This window comes from Homo sapiens, chromosome 5 (genome assembly GCF_000001405.40).
Source record: "Homo sapiens chromosome 5, GRCh38.p14 Primary Assembly".
Classification (NCBI taxonomy): domain Eukaryota; kingdom Metazoa; phylum Chordata; class Mammalia; order Primates; family Hominidae; genus Homo; species Homo sapiens.
Window position 1 is genome coordinate 94,393,831 of NC_000005.10, and position 23,578 is coordinate 94,417,408.

The 23,578-nt window shown below is 35.4% G+C and overlaps 1 protein-coding gene across 17 annotated transcripts in view; it reads right to left on the reverse strand.

Moving 5' to 3' along the window:
* Positions 1–23,578, reverse strand: part of KIAA0825 — a 467,754-nt gene that overhangs the window by 242,980 nt on the left and 201,196 nt on the right. For 16 of the 17 annotated variants that reach the window (XR_948246.3, NR_169751.1, NM_001388325.1 and 13 more), the window contains 3 exons: positions 23,371–23,550; positions 9,739–9,963; positions 2,271–2,679 (listed from right to left, as the gene is read on the reverse strand). Coding sequence is in view for 15 of the 17 variants with exons in the window: in NM_001388325.1 (NP_001375254.1) it covers positions 2,271–2,679; positions 9,739–9,963; positions 23,371–23,550 (814 nt within the window). In the remaining 2 variants the exon portion in view is untranslated. The remainder of the gene's footprint in view (positions 1–2,270; positions 2,680–9,738; positions 9,964–23,370; positions 23,551–23,578) is intronic. The other variant, NM_001145678.3, reaches the window with a different exon arrangement.

Genomic DNA, 23,578 nt, shown 5'->3' on the forward strand with positions numbered 1-23,578 from the left:
AAGTCAAGAAGAAACACTCTTTTTTTTTTTTTTTTGAGACAGAGTTTCACTCTTGTTGCCCAGGCTGGAGTGCAATGGCGCAATCTCGGCTCACGGCAACCTCCGCCTCCCGGGTTCAAGCGATTCTCCTGTCTCAGCCTCCCTCAGCTGGGATTACAGGTGCCTACCACCACACCCAGCTAATTTTTTTTTTGTATTTTTTGTAGAGACGGGGTTTCATCATATCAGTCAGGCTGGTCTCGAACTCCTGACCTCAGGTGATCCGCCTGCCTTAGCCTCCCAAAATGTGGGGATTACAGGTGTGAGCCACTGCGCCCAGCCAAGAAACACTTACAGTGCCCAAACTCTGTAAGAGATTGTTATCTAAAGTGAGTTAAGTCAAATTTAACTCTTTTTCAAATAAATGCCATAAATAACTTTAAAAAACTATGCCAAAAATAACTTTAAAACTGCACTTTGTATATTGATATCATTTCAGAAATTGAGAAAGATGTAGCATTGTGCTAATTATATAATTACTCAGAAACTTTGAGGGCTGTACTGCATTTTTTAAGTCAGCAATTCTTCATTTTTTATGCATGTTGTATGTGAGATAAATACTCTTTTGGCTCATTGTTAATCAGCCAAATATTAGCTCGACAACTCCCCGTATAGGAGATACCAGATGTGTTGGGGCTGTTTATAAAACTTAAATTGAAATCAGATTTTAAGGAAAAAATTTAGCTTATAGATTCTTGTATGTACCCCTAGGTATATTACCTAGACATTGCTTTAAATGGACCTTATTTGATATAGGGGCTACTAAATGAGCAGTATCATAAATTTAACTTTGTCACTATAATCAGATATACTATTTTTACTCTTGTTTTTCCGCTCCCCTTTATAACCACTGCCATGGATAATGACATCAGGCCTTAATTTTTTAGTCATTGGATTAAAGCCTGTAAATTAGTGTTGAATGCAAATAGAAAGATTAAGACGGTCACTGCCAATGTTACTAAGCATTTGCCTGAATGCTATTGTTATTGCCACCCATGGGACACTCCAGAAGTACATTTCTAGAGGTCAGTATGATGAGACCAGGAAAATCATGATTACCTACTTTTCCCCATTTGGATTAATATGAAGTCTTATAGATTAACATAGACAAGTAAACATTATTAGTTACCTTAATACTAACCAGTGAATGCAATATATTTTAATAGAGTTTATACATAATAATGCCTATCAGTTCCAAGCTTGATGCTAAGAACTCCATGAATGTTATTTAATTTTTCAAAACAATTCTGTCAGTGTGGTATCATCATTGAAACTGAGGCTTTGAGCGATTCAATAACTTGCACAAGATGACCCATTTACAAGGGATTTGTACTCGCCCATCTGACTCCAAAGCCTGATCTCTTTATCACTACCATGTACTAGTAAGAGTAACCATATTTCAAGTGACTTTTAGTCATTTTGGGCAGAAAGTTATACTAGTATCTGCTAGCAACATGAATATATTTTTAAAGAATGAGGGACAGCATGTGTCGGTGTTTTTAAAATGGGCTGACAGTGATCTGTAGACCATGTGAGCTGGAATTCCTTTATCAATACCATGCAATTCTATACCTGAAGACTAATTTAAAGACAGGAGGACTCTATGTACATATTTCAACTCATCAGGGACCCTTAAAAATCTTTGCAGTACCACAAATCACTTAGCTCTTAGTGACAAACCCATGAGAAGGCTGACATTTTCATACAGAAACAGCTGGGTGTGTTTATAGCTGGAGTGTGATATGCCCTAGTTGCCCTCTGGGATTCTTACATTACCAGATGAAAAATGTGTACCTTTTTGACAATCAGGTACACAGAAAGCAATAAAAAGCCTTTTATATCCGTTAATTCCTTCTTAATTTAATCTCCATGCCCAATCCATTTACAAAATGCTCCAGGCTATCCACTAGATACCTGTTTGCACACTGAAAAGGGGTGAAACTAAATTCTCCTGGGTTTAACTACCACCCTTTTAATCAGAAACCTTAAGATGGTGACTAAACAAGTATAATGTTCCAGTGTGTCAATGGGGTTCACATTTTAAGAAGACAAGAAATGTGCAACAATCCAATTTTTAATGGGATACTTATCTTTTTTTATATTCATCAAAGCTGCCATGAATTTAGCAAAATACTACTGCTGCCCATCTGACAATATATTGTCATTTATTGGTGATTTTGTTATTGTGAAAGCATTTGATGAAATCCAATAAGAGAAAAACATCACTTTACCATTCAGTGCTCAGTTTCCTTGCTTTCAACAATTGACGTTCAATCCAGTTGGGCTTCTGCTGCTCAATGCTCTGTATGACCTTTTGGATCATTTGATTATGGATACTTGTCTGGTCTCCCATGATGCTTTTCAAACACATACAAATTAAACCCAATTTTTCTTTACTCCATCTGTCAAGAGAGGCACCTGTTAAAAGTTCCACAGTGTTTCCGTCCTCAAATATCCGACATATAATTACAATCAAGTTCCAGACAAGCAGGCCAGCTTTCTTCAATTCAACAAATTTTTTTGACATTTTTCTCTCAGACAGAAAAAAGAAGTATTTAACTGGGGGAGGCAAACATGCAATCACCGTAGGTAACTTGCTGATTACAATAGATACTGCCTGAGCAGTAAGCCTTGTGAAGCCTGGGGAAGAAAAGAAAAGGTATGATTAATATTAGCATTTGCGTTCAATCACTGCATGGTTTTGTGTTGTATAAGGATGTCTAATTTTTGTGGAGAAAATTGGCAAGAAGATCAAGTGCCTGACATATTCCAACAGAACTCTAACCGGGGTCTCTCGCAGTACTACCTAAAATTCCCCCAAATCAAAATCTGTTTTTTTTTTTCTCTCATAAATGATTAGAAAATTTAGACTCATAATTTATATTCTTATCTTTCAAGACTGCAGCTGTCCAGGACCCAGGTGGCCTCCTCATTAACAAATGCAAAGGTGCCCAGCTGGGCAGCTTTGTAGGCTTTGGTACTTCTGACTCCCCCTTAAGCCCTTCTCCTCCTCCCTTGGAATCCATGACAGAATCATTTCAGCTCTCCTCAGGACTGGTTTCTCTCCTTTCAGTTCTCAACCCAAATGTGACCTCCTCAGAGAGCCTTGCCTCACCATCTTATCTCATCTCATCATCTCATCTCAGTCCATTTATACCCTTCCATCACAGCCCCAAGACCCTCTCTTTTGGGGATCCCCATTTTGTTGCCTTTATTATAGCACTCCCCATCATCTAATAATTATGTCCTTTTCCTGCACACTGTCACCCTCTTCTAAACTATAAGCTCTGAGAAGGCATTCCCGTATCCCTAGCACTTATTACCTCTTATATAATAGTTGTCAATAAATATTGGTTGGATGAATGAGTCAGTAAATTGGTTCTTGCTTACCTCCATCTCTCCTCTTTGCTTCTTTGTGTCCTATGCTATTTCCACTTTCTATTAACATCGCTTAGATGTAGGTTTTTGCTAAGAAGTCCTTAGCCTTTTGGCTGATGATTCCACATGTTCTTCCTTGTTTGGTGCTATTTCACATTTATGATCTTATTTAATGCAACAGCCTTAGAAGATTATTCAAATATGTGTTGGACCTAGTTTTTACAAACTTATAAAGACTGTTCCAATTAATTTTTAAATGATTCTCAAGTTGTCATGGATTGCAGAGGAGTCACTAGATTAGACATATTTTCCAAGAAAAATGTATTAATTCTTCTTCTCTGTATCAGGGTTTCTCAACTTTGGGTTGGATGATCCTTTGTTGTGAGGAGCTCTTCTATGTTCTGTAGGGTGTTTAGCCACATCTCTGGCCTCCACCCACTAGATGTCAGTAGCATTCCCCTCAGTGGTGACAACCAAAAATGTCTTCAGGCATTGCCAAATGTCCCCTGGGACCAAAACTGTGTCTGGTTGAGAACCACTATTCTATATGATTCCAGAATCTTAAGTCTTGGCCTTTCTCCAGAGCTGTAGTCCTATAACTCCAGCTTTCTGTTAAGCATTCCACTTCTGTGTCCTCATCACCATCAACTCAATATAACTAAAACCATTGTCTTCCAAACTAGCTTGGCCCTTCTCTCTCCCTCCCATCCTTTCCTCCTTTCTTCCTTCTTTCCTTCCTCTCTCCCTCCCTCCCCTCCTTCCTTCCCTCCTCCCTCCCGTTCTTCCTGTTAAATGTTCCTTCATACCTAATCCGTGATCAGCATTGATATATAGTTCTACCCCTTTATCTCTGACATCCAGTTTCTCATTGCTGGGGCCAACTGAAGGTTACTGACCTACTTCAAGCCCTTCTTCACAAATGGTACCTTGACTACGGAACTATTCTTCTAACTCATCTCCCTTCTCCAGGCTATGTCCAGCTCTTCTCCTGTACTGTAAAACTGAATTCATCCCCATGAACTTTATTATCCAATTTCTCTGCTGTGATAATTTTAGCTACTTGCCACTGTTATAAGATCAGTCTCTTGAGCCTTGCTGTCAAAACACTCCACAGTCTAGCCTCAGCCTGTTTCTATGATCCTTCCCTTTAAGACCTTTAACATGCTTTATCCTCTTTGCTTTTAGACTTCTGAGTATATCATTACTCTCAATGGAATGCCTTCTGTCTTCATGGTTCACAAATAATCTTCAACTCTTAGTTCAAAATCCTCTCCTCTCTTGTGAATTTATTTGAGTATATTATATATATGACCATTTTGGTAATTAGGTCCATAATTGGCTATGTTGTGTTATTTTTGTATTATCATCTATTATTATTTATATTATGTTATTTGTATACTCATGAATTGTCTTTACAACTAGCCTATAAACTCCAGAGCATGGGAAACAAAGCTCTTAGCTCCTTGATTATCCCACAAAGCCAGACAGTGTTTTAATCCACTATGTACATAATGGAATTTGAACATTAAAACTGAATGAGAAGCCAAAAGAAAGTAGCTTTGAGTTCTTTGGTAAAACGTTCTTTACTGTTTTTGCTGAACAAAAATAACAGAACAATGTGAACATTTTCTGAAGATATATATAACATTTAAAAAGTCACTCTGTTCCAAAAAAGTACAAAGCTCTTGGAAAATATGTTTAATCTAGTGACTCCTCTGCAATCCATGACAACTTAAGAATCATTTTAAAAATTAATTGGAGCAGTCTTTATAAGTTTGTAAAAACTAGATCCAACACATATTTGAACAATCTCCTAAGACTGTTGCATTAAATAAGATCATAAATATGAAAGCACCTAGCTCAGCACCTGATAAAAATAGTTGCTCAATAAATGTTTTCTTTTTATTCAAATTAATGTGTTTAGGTGAGGCTTAACATATAGATAAAGCAAATCTTCCTTAGTGTTCTTAAATTATTTGAAATGTCTCATTGTTCTTTTTGTGTTTGTATCTCATAGTCCCTATTCTGCTTTTAGGTCTTTGACTTGAAAGATTGTATCTTATATTCCCTCTGTCTTAAAGAGGGTTTGACTACAGATACTGAGCAAATATTTGACAAGCTAAGTAGATATTAGGTAAAGATTACCAATTTTCTTCTTCACACCTACACTCTACTGATATTTTATAAACTCCGAGGACTATGGGCACTCAAATCCCCAGCTATTTCATTAACGCTTAAGGCAAATTTCAGTCAGAACCTTCAGGCTGATGACAAATTAATAAATCCATTCTACCAATCTCAAGGGCTCTGAGTCTATGATGATGTCAACAACACACCAGGGAAGGATCTTTTAAGACTGCTACACACTCGTCTTTCTGTCTTTATTTAAATAAGTTTAATTCTGTCTAAGCCGTATATATGTAACATATTGTGTCATCCAATTTTAGAGCTGATAAAGTATGAAGAAAATCTATGTCTTAGGATGAAGGCAATATATGTATATTGATGTATTTGTCATTTCTTCTTTTCTGTAATGTACTACTGTAATAATATATTTGTGGTTGATAAAACATGCAAAAAGGAAATTTACAATAAAGGAGGTAAAGAAAATGTCAAAATTAATTTTTAAAATTTTATTTATTAATGGTAAAAAAGATCAATAACAATTTGTTGAATGAGGATAATGTAATTTTTTATTATTTTTTAAATCTGAGCTTAACACTTCACAATACAAAGGTCAAGTTCTAAGTTCAGTTTGTTTCAAGATCAGGTTTTCATGGCTGTCACAGGTGAAAAAGCCACTACACAAACACATATAGATCAACATGAAACCAGTATATCCTTAGCTGTGCCCACAAAATCATGGCATTTATTTTTCAGTGTTAACTACCGAATAGGTGAAGGCTGTTGTTGAAATTTGACTAACAAATATCCATCATCTGTGATGTAAATATGTTGTTCTTGCAAACGAATGGAAAAATATTTTATTTTTATATTTTTAAGAAAAGCATTCAAGAGTCACTGAAACTTTCCATTTGCAATATTTTACATCATGTTAGAAAATCCTATTTCTAAATTCTTAAGTGAAAAGATATGATACTTTTGTAGGTAACACTGGTTCTTATGAAACAAATAGGCCTGGTTTTTATACACTATACTAATGACTTCTTACAGCACTTTGTGTATTTCTGTCATCAATTTCTTTCTCAACATGCTGTTTCTGCATGTGACCAATGGCATGGACACATTTTCCTAAATGCTGCTTGCTATTTCTGTTTCCTCTCTCTAGAATTCATTGTTTCCATTAAGACAATTACTCCAAAAGTTTTGCCATAAAGGATTATTTTCATTAAAAAAGTAATTTACTGTTGAGAAAATATCTTCTCAGGTATATCTTTCATTTAATTTTTGTCAAAGAAACAAAACAAAACAACTAGTTCTTTGTATATTTGTTCTTTGAAACATAATGAAACAAATATCTAAAAGCAGAGCTATGTCAGAGCCATCCTAACTTCCATCCAACTCTCCAGTAAATCCACACTGTAATCTTTATTGTAATATTTATTTCTTTAAATCTTCAGTGTTTTTTAATGTCACAGTATTTGCTGATAAAGAAATGAAGAAATGCATTTTAGTTTGTCACCATAGTGTTTTCCATGTTCTGTCATTTTTACTGTGTCAAGAAGGACAAATATTCCCTAAGGTAATGACTATTTGTCTTTTAGTAAGTTAGATTTTTTTTTAAAGACCTTTAAACATTTATAATTAGTTAGATAAATTTTGTAAGAACCATGATTATATATCACTAAATTAAAACATTGTTGAAAAAAATTACAGAAGTTTATCTTCATGTTTTGGATACTTAGTGTAGAAATCTTTTGTTTATCAAGATGACTCCAAACTAGCTAATATCTTAAGGCTCAATACTGGCTTAGGAGGGATTTACATCAACAAAATATATGGGAAGCCACATTTCAGATAGTTTCCCCACAATTCTTTTTTTTTTTTGCCAAAGGTGATAAAATCATCATTGTTTTATAATATGGCTGTGAAGAGCTCATATTAAGAATAGAAACAAGTGGGAGCTTTTTCACTTTGTCACTGTTTGCTCTTGATTGCATTCCCAGCACTAGTTTTAAACTGTAGTTGACTTATTGGTTTATAGGAATATGTTAAAGTCACTTGTATGTATTATGAGGATTAATTTTGTTACAACCAGAGTCTGTAATACAAAGGACAACTCTAATTCATTACTGTGTGCTGAAAGCTAAAGAAGGAATAAGGACACCCTGCTCATGGCCTCTCCCCAAGAGCATGGCACCCCTGCTCTTCCCTCAAGCTTCCTCACATACTGTCCTCAACACACACTGGCTCACTCACAGACCAAGAAAGGTCTCCAGTGACAATCCCATGTGAGATTTTAGTGAAGTTTAATTTCTTTGTCTCTTCTCATACACCAAAAAATTGTACATCTCTTATTTGTACCCATTTTGAAACAGTTATACTAGTCTCCTGGCACCAGGAGGAGATACTGTACTTAGGTTTATCTCTGCTCTGAAACACAGTGCCTGGTATATAGTAGTCTCTCACTTAGTAAATTTCTACTGAATGAATAATGAAATTAATAAATGACTTAATGTCCAGCATGTACACATTCTCTATCTTATATTCTGTAGTGAAAATAAAATTTTAGAAGTGCCAATCTAAAAGTCCCTGTAGCATTTCAGAGGGCAGTAAAGAAGAACAATGGCATTCGCCTATTGTCATATCCTCTTAGAACGCAAAAAATGGTTTATAAAGTCACTTTCTTCCATCACTTTCTTTTACATATTCATGGGATCTGACATTCCTTCATGGTTGTCTTTATGTTGTACTTTTACTCGGAATGAGCATTTTATGAAAAATGTTATTTAGTAAGGAAAACTTTAACAACTGGTATCTATAAGTAAGCATTTTTTGAAATAAGAGGCTCTTTGCAATGGTATGGAGGAATTCCAAAGTGCTTAGAAAAAGCAAAATTGTTCGTGAATAGAATGACTCGAAAGCCACAAGCAAAATAGTGCTACTCATATGGCATGATATGTTAACTATAAATCATGCCTACTGAATTGCTCAAAACATATCAAATATCCAAAAGCTAGAACAAAGGAGAGATGGCAACAACTCTTAGAAAAGAAAGAACTTAAGTAATGAAAAGGTGACATTTTCCAATTTCAATTAAATGGCTTTACTAGATTCAAAGGGAGTTTAATAGGGCTTGGACAGAATTAAAGCATTACTATGAAAGGTCACAGATAGATAATTGATTTGAGTTTGTAATATAAGGTCACAATATTTAGGATCTCCATGGAGAAGAATGAAAGAAAGGCTAGTCCCTTCAATTGACTTTAGTGAGTGCGGCTGGAGTATTTTATTGTTGAAAGTTTCCTTAGAGTTAGAGAAAAAATATTTTCACTAACTCTAAGGAAACTTTCTCTAGTTTCCTAGTTTTCTAGTTTCTCTAGAAAAACTAGAGAAAGTTTCCTTAGAGTTAGTGAAAATATTCTTCTTTAAGGATGAATATGAAAGAAAAAAGTTTTATTTTAAATAATCAAAAGATTCACGAATACAGGTACGTAATATACATACAAAGGAATCTTGTGAAATTCTGGAAAAGTGGAAAGATCTAGATAGGGAGAAACTATTTAAGAAGAGAGGACTTGACTAATAAAATAAACGAATAATGTAGGTAACTGATAGTTCTTAAGTACACTTGGTGGATGCGCTGTTCTGAATAGGAACAATGCACTCAATTTAGAACCAGAATCACCGGAGGAAAAAATACCCTGTCAGAAAAATACATGTACTTACCAAACTGGGTGCTATTTTTGACCTAAAAGCTACATATGTAGGTGTTTTAACAAGAGAAAAGAAGGTAATAATTAGTGTTTGCAGGGAAAAAACTTAAAGGAAAAAATAATTAAATGGAATATCAGAGCAAATTTCTCTAGAGTATGGATTTTAAGTTACTCAACAAATTTTGAGAAAATTAGTCAAAATCATGTCACCAATCTGTGACTATTAGCCTGAACACAAAATATCACAGAAAATCCTGAACTGGTAATTAAATAAAGACTATGACCATTTGAATAATTTTCCATTTTAGTTTCCTTGATCATGTGGTTCATAGTAAAAATAAAAATAAGGGTCGCACATCTACTTAATGGAAGGAAGATTAATATAGTTCATCATTCTTATAAATTTTAGAATTTTACTTGATTACATACCCTAGAAAATTGCTTCTTCAGGTGTATTTTCTTAAAGAGAAACAAGTGTACTTACTTTTGCATGATTCTTTCCTGTTAGTTTCTTTTGGACTATAATTCCATTCCTTTGGCATGCTCTCAAGCAAACAATCAGGAACAATGTGCTTGTTTAGGTTTGTCTCACAGTTTCTCCTAGAACTCATTACAGATACTATCTGCTGTACAGTGTCCTTGATGGCATCGGTCAGTGCCAGTCTCAAGCATCGGATGACCTCTAGCTCGTACTCCACGCACGTTGAGACTTTAAAATCAGATGGCATATTATGGTTAGCAGAACCTAGCAAATCAGTTGTGCCTTGCTCAACTAGAATTCAGTTTTGTAATCATCTAGTTTAAAGCTATAGGAAAGGAGAGCTGCTCTTAACCAAGAAATCATATGATTGATAACCACCCCATAAAACATTTTTTAAAAAGATTCTTCTTCTTTGTAATAAAATGAATGGCAATTAAGATAACAGTACATAATATTTACTGGTAGTTTTGGACTCTTCTGGTGAGAACATAAATTGTATGACCTTCTTAGATGACAACTTGGCAATAATGTCAAAGCTTCAACATTTTACTTATCAGTTGACTCACATATTCATTTCTATAGGACTTTTCCTAAGAAATTAATTATAAATATGCAAAGGATATAAGAAAAAATAAAAATCAATCAAAATGTCCAATAGTAGGTGATTTGTTTAATTAGCTCTGGTATTTCTGTCTATACAATAAAGCCATATATTGTGTAGTAAAAATTAAAGTAGGTTAGAAAAGAGTATGATATCCTATTTTTATTAAAAATATGTATCTCCACACATATATAAAATAATTAAAAGCTGTACTCTATAATATTAATGGTGATTATCAATGACGGATGGAATTTCAGTTATATTTTTTCCTTCCTTTTTTCTTCTTTCCTTCTTTCCTTTCTTCCTTCTTTCTTTACAAATGGTCAATTAACTCAGTGTTAGAATCTTACCAAGAGTTTCCTTATCAGCAAAATGTTAGAGCCGGTTCCTAGATTGCCAAGACACATAGCATAGGAAGAATAGAGTAACAGCCCTAAAACCCAGCTGCTAAAAACCCAAAATATTAATTCTTCATTATCAGCATAAGTGAGAGAAGCAAGGGAAAGGATTATTTCAAATGATAATAATTTTTATTAATGATTTTTATTATTGTAGTTTATTTCCATTTTTCATATTAAATTAACAAATGAAAACAAAGGTTAGAATCATACAACTTAAAGAATACCTGCATCATTATCTAATTAATTTTCAAGTGTTTCAAAAATTACCATTAAAAATATAGACACTTTAGGAGGGGCTTCGGTGTCCTCATTTATAAAATGGTGAGGGGAGAGGGTGACAAGGGCTGGACAAGATGATATTTATGGTCTTTGTTAGTTTTCACCTTCCACGACTGTATTTAAGACTCCTAAGAAGAAAATAACAAATACTTCACAGCTGAGCACACACAAAGTTGAAAAGAACTGTGACTCTACTTCCTTTTACAACACAGTAATCAGGAGGCCTTAGAAAGGGGCTCAGTGAGGGTCCTAAATTGAGAATGTGCTTTAGGCTATGAGCAGCAATCCTAAGAATGATTTAAACCAGTTTTTGTATGTTCACTAAGCTACTAATTGCTTACCAATTTTTATCAGTATAATCTTTTATATTTTGGTAATAACAGATGTGGCGAGATTTCCAAAAAGAAACTTCGTTACTTTTATGTTAAAATTTCTATAATTTGGAAGAATCAGAACAAAGGTAATTTACTGGGAGTTTTTCAGGCTACTGTTAAGAAAGATGTTATATGCAATAAAGAATAACCTAATGTGGCTTTATAAAAGCAATGGAAATTACATCTGAATATGTTTCTAAGTAAAAAGGTTTGGTTTAAATAATTATTCTATTAATATATTTACCAACCAGAAGTCATTGGAAACAAGGTCTCCAGATAAATTGTAAGTAACTGGGGAGTCAAAAGTAACAAAACATCATTGAAAATCTTCTTCAAATACATTAGCATACTTTCCTGCTTTAGAAAATTAGTTTCTTTGATGCTTCATAACTTTAGCTGTTAGAAATGTAAAAATTTAATCTAGACAAGCTCTGGTCTAATTTTCTCACTTTTTGAAGATAAGGACACAGATAAACCAAATAGGAAGTGATAGAACAGACAGTAAGTAGTACGGCAACGATGTATTCTCTAGTTAGCCAGTTCAAGCAGTGGTATACACAGGACTAGACGGGATGGCTTGGAGCAATCCACAATCTCTAAGTACATGCCATACCCATCCACTCCTAATAAATGTAGCATCTAAGTTAGCACCCAAGCTTCTGACTCTCCCTTTTCTACTTTTACTGCTGTTATTTATTTATTTATTTTTATTTTTATTTTTTTTTGAGATGGAGTCTAGCTCTGTCACCAGGCTGGAGTTCAGTGGCATGATCTTGGCTCACTGCAACCTCCGCGTCCCAGGTTCAAGCGATTCTCCTGCCTCAGCCTCCTGAGTAGCTGGGATTACAGGCATGCGCCACCACGCCTGGCTAATTTTTGTATGTTTAGTAGAGATGGGGTTTCACCTTGTTGGCAAGGATGGTCTCAATCTCCTGACCTTGTGATCCACCCACCTGGGCCTCCCAAAGTGCTGGGATTACAGGCGTGAGCCACTGAGCCTGGCCTACCGCTGTATTTAAACAGTCCTCTATAAAAAGTGTTGGGGCACTTTAACCTGCCCTATTCTTATCTGAGATCAACCCTCCATCTTCTGTAACTGCTCTGCAATGCACTAGAATTAGAGAAAATTTTACATATATCTAGAATTGTCCATAGTCTATGTAGTAATATATGAATTCTCCAGTATCTCTGGCTTTAGATCCAAATTTCTTAAAATTTTAGAATTAGAAAGCCATTAATTTTAATGAAGGCATTGGCCTCCTCAGGCATTCTTTAAAAATAGACAAGTGTGGAGAAGCACTTCCAGAATGATGGTGTGAAGACCTGGGAAAATCTGCACCTCCATTAAAGCTATCAGAACACTGGCAAAAATTGTGAAAATCAACTTTTGAGAACTCTGGAAATTAACCACAGGCTTGCAACAATCCAAGGAGAATTTATTCAAGAAAATCAGCTGAATCTTGGTAAAAACAGTGAGCTTTGTGGCATTTTAACCTGCTCTATTCCCAGCTCCCATTCCTCAGCAAGTTCTACTATGGCCTTGAAAACGAGCAGCCTTGAAGCCATGGTAGTTATAAAAGCCCAGCACCCACTGGAAGAGGTAGAATGTCTTTTGACCTATACACAACGTCCCAGTTTCCCAGATTGTCATGATTTGTCTTGTCTGGAATCTCCCTGGAAGAGCACTGTTCACAATGCATATCCATATTCAAATTAACTCAGTGACTGAAAATGTCCTATCCCCAGGATGTTTCGTCAAAACAGTCAGTAGCAATGGTTTAGCTCTGTGGCTGCCTAAGGTAGTGATACTGGTTGCTGCAAACAAGAAGCTAATAGAAAAAGAAATAAAAGAAAAGAAAAACTGAGAAATGAAATGTACATGTACACAGTGGGGAGGAATTTTGAATATCTCTGCCATACTCCTGGGGATGAAGAAGGACACAGACATGTACAGGACTGTGCACATACCAAGAAAGCCCTGAGAAAGCGCTAATCTCTCACCTCTGACTAATCTGGAGGCTCTGTGCAAGCAGGATGTAAAAGGCGAAGGCAGAGTTGCAAACTGTGTGTGTGCTGGGACACGCCTTCAATTCTCTGGCAGTTTACAACAATTCTACTCCTAGTTATATATCCAGAAGAAGATTTTTTAAACATTCACACAAAAACTTGTACGCTAATGTTCATACCAGCATCATTCATAACAGCCAAAAAGTGGAAACAACACAAATTCCCATCAACTGATGAATCAATAAGCAAAATGTATATTTCCATATAATGGACTATTAACAATAAAAAGAAATGGAGTTCTGATACATGCTACAACATGGATTAACCTTGAAAATATTGTACTAAGTGAAAGAAACCGGACACAAAATGCACATACTGCATGATTCCATTTATACAGAAGTTCCAGAAAAGGCAAAATATAGAGACAGAAAGTAGATTAGTGGTTGTCAGGAACTGGGGAGGAACTGTTAATGGGTACAGGGTTTCTTTTTGGCGTGATTAAAATGGTCTAAAATTAAATGGTGCTGATGGTTGCACAGTTCTGTGAATCTACTAAAAACCACTGAACTGTGATATTTTTACACTTTAAAAGGATGAAATTTATGGTATATAAATTATATCTCAGTACATTTGTTATAAAAATGCAATTGCCTCTAAAAGGACACACACAAACATTTGTCACTGATATCATAATATGATTTAATTAGAGCAGGGGTCAGAAGACTTTTTCTGTAAATAGCCACATAATAAATATTTTAAGCCGTATGACAGATGATCTTTGTTGCAACTACTCATCTTTACTGTGGAAGCACAAAAGTATCCACAAATAATACGTAAGTGAATAAACAGGGCAATTTCCAATAAAACTTTATTAAAATGGTGGGTTGGATTTGGTCCAAAGGCAATGGTTTGCCAACTTCTAGTTTAAGTGGTTTAAAGGTTTTCCTTTGGGACTAGATGGGAGCAGGACACCAAGACCTTTTGATAGTGAGAAGAAAGGGAGAGATAATTTTGGAGTATAAATTCCAGCAGTGAAAAGGCAGGACTGGGTGGGATTTCCAACATAGAGCTTTTGTGCAATCAGAGTGAATCCTTTTTTAAATTTTATTTTATTTTATTTTATTTATTTACTTATTTTTGAGACAGAGTCTCGCTCTTGTTGCCCAGGCTGGAATGCAATGGTGCGATCTTGGCTCACTGTAACTTCTGCCTCCTGGGTTCAAGCAATTCTGCCTCAGCCACCCGAGTAGCTGGGATTACAGGCACCCACCACCACACTCAGCTAATTTGTGTGTGTGTGTGTGTGTGTGTGTGTGTGTATTTTTAGTAGAGACGGGGTTTCACCATGTTGGCCAGACTGGTCTTGAACTCCCAACCTCAGGTGATCTGCCCACCTTGGCCTGCTAAAGTGTTGGGATTACAGGCATGAGCCACCACGCCTGGCCCAGAGTGAATCTTGTGGTGGGAAAGAACTAGAGGAAGAAAAGAGGCATGAACAGGAATTCAATGTAAAACATTTTTCACCATAGAGCACTGCATTAATGTATAGAAGAAGAGAAGAACGTACACTATGAAAATACCTTAAAACTATTTAAAAAATCAATTTCTGGTGTGAATTTTTCTTGTAATTTGTTCATTTCTTTTTAAAGCACAATTGTGCAAAATAATTATGAATGGCTGAGATAATTTGGTTACTTAGCATAGCAAATATCATATAACATGTTCAGTTGTTCCTGAAAGTAGCTATATAGCAAATAAGTTATCCTCAAATGAACTACAGATTCATGGTATGAATATATTAGTGGCCAAGAAAATGATATTATGAATTAAGTAAAAAATAGTACACTGAGAGTCCTTCACTTTTAGGGATGTTATTTAGGAAATTAGTGTTTTCAGTCAGTAGTCAGCTGATAAAGCCAATTCCAAATATTTTATTATGTGTCTAGTGGGCTTGTTACCTGAGATAATCATAAGTTATTTTTAAAAATGATTATAACTTTGAGGAAGAACTTTTATTTTAGTGATGATAAAGTAACTGGTCCCAGACTCACTCTCCTGCCATGAAAGCTAGAAAATAGGGAAATATATGCAAAATAACTATTTTCACATATTAGACAACAGGAAACACTGTAATTGCCTTTAAAAGAAAACAAATTAAAGTCTGAATGTACTTTCAGGATCCCAGTCCAAGGAGCAGAAAGTCAAGCAAACCATGAAAGTCTCACTGAGATGAAGAGTCAGAGGAGGATGAGGCAGCTGGAATTTTCTGAGAGAAGTACCAAAGAGACGGATCTACATAGGGAAAGAGCTCCAGAAATCTGCATAAAGTTTCCTTTCAGTCTTACACAGAATACTAGACTGGCAGTGGAAAGGCTGACTCTAAGAAGCCAAGCAAAAAACAACTATTGAGAAACTGTTAGCTGAACAGTTATCAGAGTTCATACAAGATTGGCAAAGTCTAAGTTCAGACCAGAGTGGCAAGATGTCATTGTATATCTGACATTCAAAGGACACCTAAAAAGGTAATGTTTCAGTAAATGGGCTAAACCAGGCCTAGAATAAAGACTACTTTAGATCTGCCCTAATAAAGCTTGAAAACAACTAACTCTCAAGATGATCAAGGTGATACACAAGTAACACAATACAACAAAATCTGTAATGGAAGAAAACAAAATCTAGAGACTCAATAACATAATACTGATAATGTCTGGCATCCACTAAAAAATTACCAGACAGGGAAAGAAATATGATCCATAATCAAAAGAAAACTAAGTCAATAGAAATATACCCAGAAATGAAAGAGATGATGGAACGAGCAAACAAGGTTTTAAAACATCATATATGTATAAGAATATTTAAATGAGAAGGTATACACAAAATATAAAAAGAAACTATACAGAATTGCCAGAAGTTAAGGATACCTGTAATAAAAATTCACCATATAGTCTTAATAGTACTTTAGACACTGCAGAAAAAAAAAAAAAAATCACTGAACTTGAAGATGCAATAGAAAGTATCCAAACAAAAGAACAGACAGAAAGAAGGTTAAAAAACAAAAACAATACAAAAAAACAAGGAAGAAGAATACAGCCTCACTGACCTACGGGACAATGCCAAGAGGTGTAATATACACGAAATTGAGTCCCAGAAAAAGTGGGAGGGGGAGTGAAGTGGGGCTGGCAAAAGACAAAATATTCCAAGAAAGAATGGCTGAAAAGTTTTCAAATTTGATGAAAATTAAACATCTCAGGTCCAAGCAGCTCAATAAACCCTAGGCAGAAAAAAATACAAAGAAAACCAAAACAAGGCACATCATAATCAAATTGCTGAAAAGCAGTGACAAAGAGAAAAGTCCTTATCAACTATAAAAGAAGACATATTACATAAAAGGAAACAGATACTGTAAATATTTCCACTGATTTATTGTCAGAAATAATGCAAGCCAGAAGATAATAAAATGAACATCTTTACAGTGCTAAAGGAAAAACGAAAAAGAACAAAAAAATTCTGAACCTAGAATTCCATATCTACCGAAAAATATTTCAAACATGAAGGCAAAATACTTTTTGTCACGCAATCAAAAGCTAAAATAAATTAATGCCAGAGATTTGTAATACAAGAAATGTTAAAGGAAGTACTTCAGGTAGAAGGAAAACAATACCTATTGGAAACTCAGATCTACACAAAGAAGGGTATGGAAATGATAAATATATGGACAAATATAAAAGACTTTTTCCCATTTTTAATTTCTTTAAAATATAATATTTGGAGCAAAAATAAAACAATAAATTGTAGGGTTTATAATACTTATAGAAATAAAATGTATGACAACAATAGAATAAAGGATAGGGAGGAAGTAAATGGAAATATAGCATCATAAGGTTCTTATATCAGATGCAAAGTGGTATAATGTTATTAAAAAGTAAACTGTGATGGGTTAAAGATACATATTGTAAACCCTGGAGCAACTACTACAGTAAATAAAGAAGCCATTAGAAAAGGTAAAATGGAATACTGACAAATACTCAACTCATCCAAAAGAGGGCCAAAATAGAGGGAAAATGAAGATTAGATAGAACAACAAATAGAAAGCAAGTAACAATATAAACCTATAGTGCCAAGTATCAAAATAGAGAGTCCAGAAATAGATGCATCTATTTGATCACTTGGTCAATTGATTTCTGACAAAAGCATTGGAGTAATTCAATTTATAAAGAATAGCCTTTTTAAAAAATGGTTCTGGGAAAATTACATAGCCATATGGAAAAATAAGAACCTCAACATTTATCTCACTATACACAAAAATCCATCATAGAACTAAACATGACTAAAACTATAAAATTGCCAAAAGAAATAATGGGAGAAATATTAGTAAAATTTAGATAATCCAGTTGTTCTTAGGACACAAAAAGCACTATGGTTAAAAAACTGATAAACTGGGCCAGGCGTGGTGGCTCACGCCTGTAATCCCAGCACTTTGGGAGGCTGAGGCAGGCAGATCATGAATTCAGGAGTTCGAGACCAGCCTGGCCAACATAGTGAGACCCCACTTCTACTAAAAATACAAAAATTATCCAGGCGTGGTGGCTCGTGCCTGTAGTCCCAGCTACTTGGGAGGCTGAGGCAGGAGAATCGCTTGAACCTGGGAGATGGAGGCTGCAGTGAGCCAAGATTGCCCGACTGCACACCAGCCTGGGCAACAGTGTGAGACTTCGTCTCAAAAAAAAAAAAACTGATAAACTGGACTCATCAAAATTATAAACCTCACTCCATCAAAAGACCTTGTTAAGAAAATGAAAAAGTAAGCCATAGACAGGGAGGAAATTTTATCAATATATGTATAAAACAAAGAATTTATGTGCAATATATATAAAGAACCCTTTACAACTCAGTAAGACAACCAATTAATAAGTGGACAAAAGTTTTGAATAGATATTTTACAAAAGAATATTTTCAAATGGTCACTAAGAACATGAAGAGGTGTTCAATGTCATTATTCATGAAGGAAATGTAAATTAAAGCTTCATGAGATAATACTACCTACCCCTTAGAATAACCAAAATCAAAAAGACAATCTCAAGTGTTGACAAGAATATGGAGCAAACAAAATTTTCACACATCATTGGCCAAAATGTAAAAAGATCTGACTACTTCGTGAAACAGTTTAGTAGTTTCTTTTTTTCTTTCTTTTTGAGGCAGAGTGTCACTCCATTGCCAGGCTGGAATGCAGTGGTGTGATCTCGACTCACTGCAAGCTCCACCTCCTGGGTTCAAGTGCTTCTCATGCCTCAGGCTCCCGAGTAGCTGGGATTACAGGCACGCGCCACCACACCCAGCTAATTTTTGTATTTTTAGTAGAGACGGGGTTTCACCATGTTGGCCAGGATGGTCTCGATCTCCTGACCTGGTGATCCACCCACCTCGGCCTCCCAAAGTGCTGGGATTACAGGTGTGAGCCACCACGCCCGGCCAGTAGTTTCTTATGAAGTTAAAAATTTACTTATCATATCACCTAGCATTTCCACTTCTAAGTACTTACTGAAGAGAAATGAAAACATACATAGTTGACCCTTGAACAACATGGGTTTGAACTGCACAGGTCGACTTACATGCAGACTTTTTCAATCAAATGTGGATTGAAAATACAATATTTGCAGGATGCAAAACCTGCATATATGCAGGTTCTGTGGGGCTGACTGCAGGACTTGAGTATATGTTGAGTACATGGATTTTTTTTTTTTTTTTTGAGATGAAGTTTCACTCATTGCCCAGGCTGGGGTGCAATGGCGTCTTGGCTCACTGCAACCTCCACCTCCCGGGTTCAAGTGATTCTCCTGCCTCAGCCTCCTGAGTAGCTGGGATTGCAGGCACATGCCACCATGCCCAGCTAATTTTGTATTTTTAGTAGAAACGAGGTTTCTCCATGTTGGTCAAGCTGGTCTCAAACTCTCGACCGCAGATGATCTCCCACTTTGGCCTCCCAAAGTGCTGGGATTACAGGCGTGAGCCACCATGCTTGGCCGAGTATATGGATTTTTTAAGAAGGGGAATGGTTCCTGGAATGAATTCCTCACATATACTGAGGGATGACTGTAGTCCCACAAAGACTTATACACTAGTATTCATAGCAGCTTTATTCATCGTAGCCAAAAACTAGAAATAATCAAAATGTCCACCCAACTGGTAAGTGGATAAAAAAAGTACTACTCAGTGAAATACTGCTCAGCAATGAGCAGAAATAAACTAATGATAAAGCATAATATAAAATTATCAAAAACATTAAGCTGAGCAAAAGAAGCTAGACACAAAAGAATATATAGATTTCTATTTATATGAAATTCTAGAATATCAAAAGTAAACTATCACGACAAAAAGCAGGTCAGTGTCTTCCTGGGGCTGAGAGTTGAAAGGAGAATGGACGGCAAAGGGGGAATGAAAGAACCTTTGGAGATGACATAAAATGTTCCATATCTTTATCGTTGTGGTTGTCACACAGATTTATACATTGGTCAAACTTACTGAACTCTTCACTTGAAATGAGTGAATTTTATTGTATTCAATCAATAAATATATTTTAAAACATTTTTAAGGTGGATTGCAAACAAACTGGTGACAAAAGGCTCAGAATACATGATTAGTTACAACATAGAACAAAGACAGCCTTTCAATATGTGAAAGCTTACATTTAAAATCTACCTATACTATGGCGCAGGTATTTATGTAGGTAATAGAGACAATCACTGTGTCTGATAGGAAGGTAAGGCACTGTAAATTAATTTTGGCAACAGGCAGACAATATAGCATATATATGCTCTCTAGACAACACTTCTTAAAGGTCTTTATGAGGCTGAGGAGGAGTAGAAAACCAAAGTGGAAACTTTGAATCTCAACCCTTAATTTTGCTAGGTTATGGAAAACTTTTTTCCCAAAGGTTGGGAGAAAGTTAAGAAAACTGATTCAGAAAACAAAAGTAAGCCCAATGCCATTATCGAGGAGCCAAGTAAACAATACTTTTTGAGTATATTACTATCATATTAGATGGGCATTTTTGACAGTATTTGCCTCATTTACAAGCCTGTTCTGACATTGTCTTAAAAACCAGCTGAGGTAATGTATGCTTTGATATTTTCATTTGTCTAACTGAATAATGCTTGATCTACTTTGAAAACATAGGTGTCCAATGATTGTTAGCAAATTTATTTCTTACAGAGTGCATTGGCCTTAGAAACACCCACATTAGGTCACTGACTTAATTATTTGTTGTACTTATAGCTTTTGTAGTAATCTTAAGTGGGTATTTTCCTTCTTGTCATCCCTCCCTAGCTTATGTCCAGTCTAAAGAGTTATGTGTTAGATAGAATTCTAAGTATAAAATCAGATTGTATAATTCATTACTGAATTCGTATGTTCATAAAAGTAGTGTCTCAAAAAATTTAGTCTAATAGAAAAAAATGAGAAATAACATGGCCTAGGACAGGGTCCCCAACCCCTAGACTGCAGACCAGTACAGGTTCGTGACCTGTTAGGAACTGGGCCGCACAGCAGGAGGTGAGCAGCAGGTGGGTGAGCATTACTGCTTGAGCTTCCCCTCCTGTCAAATCAGAAGCATGTTAGATTCTCATAGGAGCACAAATCCTATTGTGAACTGCACATGCAAGGGATCTTGGTTGTTTGCTCCTTATGAGAATCTAACCAATACCTGATGATCTGAGGTGGAACGGTTTCATCCATCCCCCTCCTGGTGGAAAAACTGTCTTCCACAAAACTGGTCCCTGGTGCCAAAAATGTTGGGGACTGCTGCCTTAGGAGAGAGGAGATCTGGTTTCTTGTGCTAAGTCTTGTCCAACTTAATTGGTGGACAGTCTTAGGCAACTCTCTTAATATTTCTGCTTTTTGTTTACTCAACAATAAGATGAAGATACCACTTCATCTTTGTCCTTTTACCCTAAAATGATAAGACTGTGATGTTTTATGGGTAAACTGTGCAGAAATCATAGACAGTGATTTAGCAGGAGGAAACTACAGCAGTGAAGTTTTAAAATAATGTACTTTAGTTAATCTGGGTAGGTTAATTATAGATACTGAAGCATAGATCTATTAGTAATAAAATGTAAATATTGCGGGATTATGATTACATGTCTCAGCTGTATTACTTGTAACAATGTTATGTTTCCAAATTAAACAAAAGTCATAGTAAAAGGCTTAATTTCGTTATGAATTAGTACCTTGTATTATCTTATTAGGGTTTTTAAAATAACCATGATTGCTAACAGAAAAAAAAAAAGATATTTTCAAAGACTTAAATGGGAGAGAAAAGAGAAAACTTCAGACCCTCATAACCACTGCAGGTATCAGGTTCCAGAGAATATTTAATGTTTATGGAGCAACAACTTGTATAAAGGAGAAGGGAGTTTCACCCATTTGAAGTTCTGCCCCTTTGAGCTTTCACATATAATTCAGGCTCTGTGAATATGTATAACGTCTGTTTCCAGAGACTTGTCTGACCATGTAGGGGAGGGTTTGCTCACTACATACATGGAGAGATGTCAAATTAGGAGCAAGAAACAGTTTTATTTTGCCTAGCAGCACCTGAAATCCATTTATATCTTCTAGGTTATTTTAAGTATAGTTTTGTGCTGAGTGTCAAAGATGGTTCAAGAACCTAATAGTTGAAAGATAAATAGTGATTGAAGCATGAGGGTCACTGATTCTTTATAATCTTGTGAGAAAATCCAGCTCTTACTTCCCCAGAAACAACTAAAATCAGCAGAGGGTGGCAGAACTTTCAAGTTCGTTTTTCTTTCAATTCAATAAAGACTACATCAGAAACACAACAAGCTTCTAATTCAGCCTTTTTACCTAGGAATATGCCCTTCCTTTGGGAAGCAAGAAGCAGTAAGGGAATGCATGGCAACTAGGAGATAACATTTTAAAAAGAGATCATTATTACAGAAACTTTAAATGACAGATTTGGACTTTGGAAATCATAACATAAAGTTATCTATTGCTAGTTTATAGGGATAATGGCCAAGAGAAAATGAAACATAATGACTGTAAAACAGCTAGAATGATATTCAAGTAATATCTGGAGGATAGTCAAAAAGTCTGGGAGGAGTGAAACCATGATTATGAACTAGTTAGATCTTTTATATGGAGCCTAGGAAATATTTTATGAAAATTCAGGTTCCAAAGCAGGATAAAAGAAAGCTTACAGGTTGAAAACTAAATGTAAATGATAAAAATCACTATTTGAATAGCAGGATAATAATAAAAATCATTGTCTAAGTTTTCATCCTTTGTTTTCACAAGATATTAAATATGAAAATTTAAAGGCAGAATATTAAGGATAAGACAATGTGAGAATTTTTACGCCTGCCAGAGGGTGGGGCAACCCATCAAAACTTCCTGTTCAAATATACAACCTGCACTGCCTTTATTATTCTCTCTAGCTGAAGGAAGAAGAACAATACAGATGGGAAAAATATATTCTCTCCAAAGGAATCACAGGATATGCTTGCCTTGTAGAGAGACACACTATGGTCATAATAATAAATGCCTTATACATCTGAAGAAAATCGACCAATAGTATTGTCCATTAATTTGCTGAATAAATGCACCCAAGAATCACAAAATACTTTTCACATCTTACTAATATCTTATATGCTCAATAGCAAAACATAATCTGTGATAAATATTAAAATAAATTTTTATGATAGAACATTCCCTAATTAATAAAAAAAGAAAATCTTTTCCCTTCCACCTCCCTTGCATCTTGTCCCAAAGTATATGAAATTTTACAGGAACCAATAATTAATGATTCCCAACAGAAGGCTTTATACTGAAAAAATGTAAGGTAAACTTTCACCAACAACAGATTCAGCAAAACCAGTATCAATACAACTTCTAAACATCTTTAAAGGTACATATAAGTATCTATAGAACATTTCTTTTACAAACAGTAAATGTCTCATACCTGGGATGTTATATAAAAAGTCCCATAATTGCTCTTCTTCCATGTAGCTCACAAAAACGTTTGCAAATGTTTGTGGAGAAAAACTGCAATGGTACAATATTTTAAAGATGGCTTCCATCAAGCTGGGTCCTTGGTTCAGGTTATTTTCTGTGTCGGAAACTTGTTCTTGAAAGGTACGTTCTTGAAAGGAATCAAAATGATTTAGTAA